Source organism: Homo sapiens, chromosome 6 (genome assembly GCF_000001405.40).
Source record: "Homo sapiens chromosome 6, GRCh38.p14 Primary Assembly".
In the NCBI taxonomy this organism is placed as follows: Eukaryota; Metazoa; Chordata; class Mammalia; order Primates; family Hominidae; genus Homo; species Homo sapiens.
Window position 1 is genome coordinate 127,308,248 of NC_000006.12, and position 8,395 is coordinate 127,316,642.

Sequence of the window (8,395 nt, forward strand, 5' to 3'; positions counted from 1 at the left end):
ACAAAATACTAGCAAACTGAATTCAACAATATATTAAAAAGATCATTCAACATGACCAAGTGAAATTTATCTCTGGGATGCAAGGATGGTTCAACATACACAAATCAGTCAATGTGAAACATCATACCAACAGAATGAAGGACAAAAGCTATATAATAATTTGGACTCATGCTGAAAAAGCATTTGATAAAATTCAATATCCCTTCATGATAAAAAACTACCAAGAAACTAGGTATAGAAGGAACATACATCAACATAATAAAGGCCATATACATATATGACAGACCTTCAGTTAGTATCATACTGAATGGGGAAAAGGTAAAAGCCTTCTCTCTAAGATCTACAACACAACAAGGATGCCTACGTTCACAACTGTTATTCAACATAGTACTGGAAGTCCTAGCTAGAGTAATCAGACAAGAAAAAGATATAAAGGACATCCAAATTGGAAAGGAAGAAATCAAATTATCCTTGTTTGTAGATTATACAATCTATGTCTGGAAAAAGCCTAAAGTTGCAAAATAAAAAATCAACATACAAAAATCAGTAGCTTTTCTATATGTAAACAGTGAACAATTTGAAAAAGAAATCAAAACAGTAATCCCATTTACAATAGCCACACATAAAATTAAATACCTAGGAATTAACCAAGGAAGTGAAACATGTCTATAATGAAAACTATAAAACACCAATGAAAGAAATTGAAGTGGACATTAAAAATGAAAAGATATCCCATGTTCGTGGATTGGAAGAATCAACATTGTTAAAATGTCCATTCTACCCAAAGCAATCTAGATATTCAGTGTAATTCCCATCAAAATACCAATGACATTCTTCACATAAATCGAAAAAAAGATCCTAAAATTTATATGGAACCACAAAAAACACAGAATAGCCAAAACTATGCTCAGCACAAAGAACAGCCCTGGAGGAATCACATTACCTGACTTCAAATTATACCACAGAGCTACAAAAACCAAAATAGCATAAAAACAGACAACCAGTGAAACAGAATAGAGAACCCAGAAACAAATCTACACATATACAGGCAACTCATTTTCAACAAAGGTACCAAGAACATACACTGGAGAAAACACAGTCTCTTCAATAAATGATGCTGGGAAAACTGGATATTTATATGCAGAAGAATGAAATTAGACCCCTATCTATCACCACAGACAAAAATCAAATCAAAATAAAGAAAAAGAAAAAACCCAGAAAACAAACAACAAAACACACACACACACACACACACACACACACACACACACACACACACACACACACACAGGAAAAAATAGATTAAAGACAAATTTAAGACCTCAAACTCTGGAACCACTACCAGAAAACACTGGCGAAAATCTTAGGGTCACTGTACTTGGCAAAAATTTCTTGAGCAATATTCCACAAGCCCTTTCTCACACTGCTATTAAGAACTACTTGATACTGGGTAATTTATGAAGAAAAGAGGTTTAATTGACTCATAGTTCCACAGATTGTATGGGAAGCATGGCTGGGGAGGCCTCCAGAAATTTACAATCATGGCAGAAGGCGAAGCGGAAGCAGGCATATCTTCACATGACAGAGCAGGAGAGAAAGAGCGAAAGGAGAAGTGCTACACACTTTTAAACCACCAGTTCTTGTGAGAACTTACGCACTTATCATGAGAAGAGCAAGGGGGAAGTCTGCCCCCATGATTCAATCACCTCCCACCAGACCCTTCCTCCAAAATTGAGGATTACAATTCAACATGAGATTTGGGTGGTGACACAGAGCCAAACCATATCAACAACTGAATTCATGGAGATAGAGAGTAAAAAGATAATTACCAGAGTCTGGGAAAGGTAGTGTGGAGTTGGCAGGGGGATGGGGATAGTTAATGGGTACAAAAAAATAGAAAGAATGAATAAGGTCTATTGTACAGAACAGGGTGACTATAGTTAATAATATAATAATAACCTAATTATACATTTAAAAACAACTAAAAGAGTATAATTGGATTTTTTGTAACACAAAGGGTAAATGCTTGAGGGGATGGAAACCCCATTTTCCATAATGTGATTATTACATATTGCATGCCTGTAGCAAAACATCTCATGTACCCCATAAATATATACATCTACTATGTACTCATGAAAGTTAAAAATTAAAAAAAAAAAGTTGTTTTCAATCCTCATGGTTGGCTTTCAACCCTCAGGAAGATTTAAGGAGTTCAAGACTTCAATGGAGGAAGTAACTGCAGATGTGATGGAAGTAGCAAGACAATTGGAATTAGAAGTAGAACCTGAAGATGTAACCAAATTGCTACAATCTCATGATAAAACCTGACTAGATGAGGAATGGCTTCTTATGGATGAACAAAATATGTGGTTTCTTAAGATGGAATTTAATTTTGGTGAAGATGCTGTGAACACTGTTGAAATGACAACAAAGGATTTAGAATATTACATAAATTTATATTTGATAAATCAACGGCAGAAAGAAGTTCTACTATGGGTAAAATGCTATCAAACAGCACTGCATGCTACACAGAAATCTTTTGTGAAACAGTCAATCGGTTAACAAACTTTTGTTGTCTTAGTTTAAGAAGTTGTCACATCCACCTCAATCATCAGGAAGCACCACTCTGATCAGTTAGCTGCCATCAAAATTGAGGCAAGATTCCCCACCAGATTACATCTCGGTGAAGGCTCAGATGATTGGTAGCATTTCTCAGCAATAAATTACCTTTTAATTAAGATAGATGCATTGTTTTTTCAAACATAATGCTATTACATACTTAACAGACTATAGTACAGTGTACACATAACTTATATACGCACTGGGAAACCAAACAGTTCGTGTGACTCACTTTATTGTGATATTAACTTTAGAGGGGTGGTCTGGAGGAAACCAAACCTGTGATATCTATGAATTATGCCTGTACCAAGATGGCAGATTTAAACCCAATTATATCCATGCAACACTGACTATGTATATGGAACAAACACTCCAATTAAAAGGCAGAAATTGTCATTCTGAATAAAAAAGCAAAACCGTAGTATATGTTGTCTACTAGAATCTACTTTGAACAAGGCAGCCAAGTTAAAAATGAAAGGACAGAAAAAGATACACCACAGAAATGTTAACCATAAGAAAACTGGGGGCCAGGCGTGGTGGCTCACGCCTGTAATCCCAGCACTTTGGGAGGCAGAGGCAGGCCCTGGATCACGAGGTCAGGAGTTCGAGACCAACCTGGCCAACATGGTGAAACCCCATCTCTACTAAAAGTACAAAAATTAACCAGGCGTGGTGGCAGGCGCCTGTAATCGCAGCTACTAGGAGGCTGAGGCAGGAGAATTGCTTGAACCTGGGAGGTGGAGGTTGCAGTGAGCTGAGATCGTGCCATTGCACTCCAGCCTGGGTGACAGAGGCTCTGTCTCAAAAAAAAAAAAAAAAAAAAAAAAAAAAAGAAAAGAAAAAAGAAAGAAAGAAAGAAAGAAAACTGGGATGGCTATATTTATATCAGAAAAAAAACAGATCTTGACTGAATCCTGGACCAGAAAAAAAAAAAAACATTAGTATGATAAATGAAAAAAACTGAATGAGGTCTGTAGATTAATTACAAGTATTGTATCAATGTTAATTTCCCAGTTGTATAATTGCACTGTGGCTCTATAGGATACTAACATTTGGGGAAACTGATTGAAAGGTATATGGGAGTTATATGTATGATTTCGTCAAGTTTTTCATAAGTGTATAGTTAGTGCAAATGAGAAGTTGAAAACATTTTAAAAATTCAAATTTCTGCTCTTCCAAAGATACTACTGATAAAAAAAAAACTCACAGGCTGGGAGAAAGTATTCTTTCTCCTAAGGCTGTGAATAATAGTATTTAGTATTAAAGTAGAGATAGACATAGACACACGAGCATACTTCACCTCTGCTACTATAATTATTGCTATCCCAAGGAATTTTATACAGAATATATAAAAAACTCCTACAGTTTAATAATAATAAGACAAATCAATTTCTTTAAAGAGTCAAAGGATTTGAAACAACAAAGAAAAAGAAGATATGGCCAATAAACACAAGGTCCTCAACACCAGTCACTGTGGAAATTCAAATCTGAAATCACAATGAGCTCTCACAATGGTTCCCACCCGTCAAATGGCTAAATCTAAACAGCTTGACAGTACCACATGTTGGTATTCATGTGGTGCAGCTGGAACTTTCTTCCATTGCTCATGAGAATAAAAATTATACAACCCACCTAGAAAATTTAAGAAACCAATATATTTGCTGCTTAAGTTAAACATACACTTACCATATCACCCCAGCAATTCCACTCTTAGATTTTCACCCAAAAGATATGACAACATATGCCCACACAAATACTTATACATGAATGTTCACAACAGCTTTATTTATAATAGGCCAAAACAAGAAATAGCTCATGTGCCCATTAATGTATAACACTTACTGTGCTATATAGGCATAGAAAGCAATACTACTAAGCAATAAGATGAACAAACCACTGGAAAATGCAAAAACACAGATAAATCTCAGAAACAAACTTGAATATCCATGCAATAAAATACTTTTCAACATTAAAAAGGAACAAAGTATTGACACATGGTACAACATGGATGACTCTCAAAATAATTACACTGAATTAAAGAAGGCAGACATTAAAAAGTACATACTCTATATATTTATGTAAAAATGTATTTATGTAAAATTCTTTTTTAAAAATCTACTTTAAAGTGAGAAAGTGATCAGTGTTTACCTTGAAATAGAGATATGAACTGACTGGGAAGAGGCATATGAAAACATATAGATAGGGGTGATAAAAATGTTCTCAATCTTGATTGTGGAGGTGGTTACATGGGTGTATATATTCATCAAAATCCATTTACAGCATACAATTAAAATGGATTCATTTTATTGTATATAATTTGTAGCTCAACAAATTTATTTATTTATTTATTTATTTGAGACAGAGTCTCACTCTGTTGCCCAGGCTGGAGTGCAATGGTGTGATCTTGGCTCACTGTAACCTCCACCTCCCAGGTTCAAGCAATCCTTCCACCTCAGACTCCCAAGTTGTAGGACTACAGGCATGTGCCACCACACCTGGCTAATTTTTGTATTTTGAGTAGAGATAGGGTTTCACCATGTTGGCCAGGCTGGTCTCAAACTCCTGACCTCAGGTGATCTGCCTATTTCAGCCCCCCAAAATGCTGGGATAACAGGCATGAGCCACCACGCCAGGCTTAAAAGTTTTTAAATGTACAACATGATGTTTTGAAATATGTAGAGCACTACATGCCAGCGCAGAATCACTTTCTCTTCAGTGTCTGAAACTGAGACAAAAAGTTTACTAGAAGTCTTCTCTTAATGTATATCCAGTATTTTTCTTAGCTAGGGTCAAGTGTATAATGAATTTTTAAAAAAATGGCAAGGCCAGGGTTAGCCCAGAGACTGAAAAACATCCCAAATGAAAAGACAATGAGTTTCAAAGTATGCCACAATGTTATCATATTGGCACTGGTAAGAGACAGTTGTATAAGATAATCTTAAAACTCTAAGCCACAATATTATGTGAATATTGATGTAAACTTTAGGTTAAACATTATGCTAAAACCTATATTTTCACTATCTTATTTAAATCTATTTATAAATATTTAAGGGAGATACTTCCATTTTATAGATAAAGAAACTGAGATGAAGAGAGGTAAAATACTTGCTCAAAGTCAAGTAGATAAAAGTGTCAAACTGGGATTCAGCCTAGGTCTACTAGACGTCAGTGCTCAGGCTCTTTACTGTTTTGCCATTTTACCTCTGATTGTGCTATATTTACTACCTTTTGCATTATAAAGAGGCTCCAGTATGTGAACCTGTACAGATAACTCACAGAGCATTGTATTGGTCTCCTTATAGCTAGCTGTGTTAGTAGGCCTTGGGAATGGTACTGAGAAAGCAGTTTAAACCATGTCTAAAGCATTAGATTTTATAAAATGTCATTTCTATATAATATAGCTATCAAATACTGAGAATAATTATTGGGAGTGAAGAGCTATTGGTCCCAAAGAACTTTCTCTATTTTTAGTCCCTAATCTTCCTGAAAGTCCCACAAAGTTGCTATAAATCACAGCAAAAAGAAGACAAAGGGATCTCAGAAAATCTCTTTTTATTGGTGAGAAGACAGCTACAGCAGTCTCTCTTTCTGCATTCTATTTTTCTTTTTTAATGTTGCTTACCTTTGTTTGTATAATTCTTTTGGATTTTTAAGTTTCATATATTTCCTTAGCTTTCCTTCCAGGAGTTTTGCTAATATGGATTTGCTCTATTCAAAATCTCAAAACCATGTGTTTTGTTAATTTTTTGAAAATGCATAGTAATGAAGTGATCATGAAATTTTATTAGATTAAAATTATCTACTTTAATGACTGACAAAAAGAAAACATTCAGAAAAGAAAATAGGTTTATCCTATTTAAGAATATATAAAATATTGATATTAAGGCAAAAATGAATTTGAGCAAGTTAATTATATTTGTGCAAGAAATTAATGAAATTTTCATCCTACCTGAAATCACATGCTGTAGTAAATTCTGCTCCTCCACCCAATGCCCAACCTTGAACCAGCGCAACACTTATTAAAGGAAGTCTGTATATTGAAGAAAAAACTGATGTTACTATTTTTAATTTCAATATTCATTTACAAATGTTATTTTTTAAAAAATCTTAAAATGCAGTGGAAACAAAATTATTGCACTGTCTTCATAAAAACAAACACACATCAAAGGATAGCAGAAGCTTGAACCTTTACATCATGAGAAGAAAAACAGTGTAATACTAAACATACAATAGTTCACAATAAATGCCACATAAGTTCATTAAAATACCTCCCTGAATCATTATATATTTTTAAGCTATAGCCATATTGTAACTTACTCCCAAATAAATGGATGCTTTTGTCTAATTTACAGCTCCTGGAACTTCTCAGCAGCTGGCTCTTCAGAATAATTCCATGTGATATTATCTTTGTCCATTTTTGTTGGTATCAGGTTAAAAGTTGGAAAATCAAGGCTATTTCCAAAGGTTGGAAATGTGTTACAGAAGATAGGGCTCCAAAACTGTGTTATGAAGTTTCCTTCAAAAATCTACTCATTGTTGCCTGAAATAATCCACAGACTAATCCTATATAAAGGCATGATTTTGCAGTAAAAATAAATCTTTTACCTTTCCTGTTTGCAAAGACCCACTTTGCAGGGGTGTGTGAATACAAGGTAAATCTAAAATGTTTTCCAAGATGGAATTTTTGTAGGTTCTGACCTACAATGCAAAGGTGCAGGTCTAAAGTAATTGAAAATTTCCTAATATACACTGCTCCCATGTAGAAAGGATTATTTAAAAAAATAATAACTTCAGATTTATCTATGAAAAAGTCAAATGCAATAGGAAAAGGAGGTGAATAGGGTTTAAACAATGAAGATACTATTTTAGAATAGTAATGTTATGATTCTATTACTCTCTCTAGACTCTCAGATACAATAGGTACCAAAAATACAGTAATGTCCAATTAATAACCTTGCTTAAATAAGAATTTCCTTACTTTTCATAATTTTAAATTTGTCTACATTCGGAATGTGAAAGTAGAAAGCTAATCAACCAAAACATGTCAGTTTGTAACCTCAAACATACCTTGATAGGCCAAGAAGAATTTTTCCTCTTTGCTTCTTTACCTAGGTGCAAAGTCAATTCATATTCCTCAGAAAGCTGTAAAAACTTTCCAATCCATAGTTCTTTTTCTCATCTCCTCTGGATACAGACCACTTCACCACACATTCTACTAATTTGGAATATTAGGTAAACTTTATGTGTCATGTCTTGATCAGTGTCTTTATTATTCTGCTCTAATACCAGTATTTAACTTTCCCAGTATCTATTCCTAAATACAGCTAGTTATATAAGCTCTTTAGGGGATATGTCTTAAATTTTTCTTATCTTTCATTTCTCTTATTTTTAAAATACATATGTATATACTTCATTAACATGTAATTAAATGATTATCCTCTACGGCACAAAAAAATAGTACATCATTAGAATAGATGTAATTTGAAAATTAGCTATTATTTCTTAACTAGTACAAATAATGGAATAGCAAAAAGCTATTTTTGGTCTTTTAGAAATCATATTTTAAAAAGAAGGCTGCATTACCTCATAAATCTTGTTAAGGTGTTTTGCATGAACATGCATACGGCCATTCCATCCTTTAAATAAAAATAAGCAGAAACACAAAGGTATAATGCAAATATATTACATTAAATTTTTTAAATTAAGGTTTTAGAAAGTAATGAAGCCAAAAATATGTCTTTTTTAAACAATGACATTTCCATTTAAAACTCTTTGA

The 8,395-nt window shown here is 33.8% G+C and overlaps 1 protein-coding gene across 11 annotated transcripts in view; it reads right to left on the reverse strand.

Moving 5' to 3' along the window:
- The window catches only part of ECHDC1 (ethylmalonyl-CoA decarboxylase 1), a 54,898-nt gene that overhangs the window by 19,536 nt on the left and 26,967 nt on the right, over positions 1–8,395 (reverse strand). For 5 of the 11 annotated variants that reach the window (NM_001105544.2, NM_001002030.2, XM_005267047.4 and 2 more), the window contains 2 exons: positions 8,203–8,255; positions 6,569–6,649 (listed from right to left, as the gene is read on the reverse strand). In NM_001105544.2, coding sequence (NP_001099014.1) covers positions 6,569–6,649; positions 8,203–8,255 — 134 coding nt within the window. Of the gene's footprint in view, positions 1–6,562; positions 6,650–7,686; positions 7,728–8,202; positions 8,256–8,395 lie in introns of those variants that run through there. The other 6 variants (XM_047419074.1, XM_047419073.1, XM_047419072.1 and 3 more) reach the window with 3 other exon arrangements.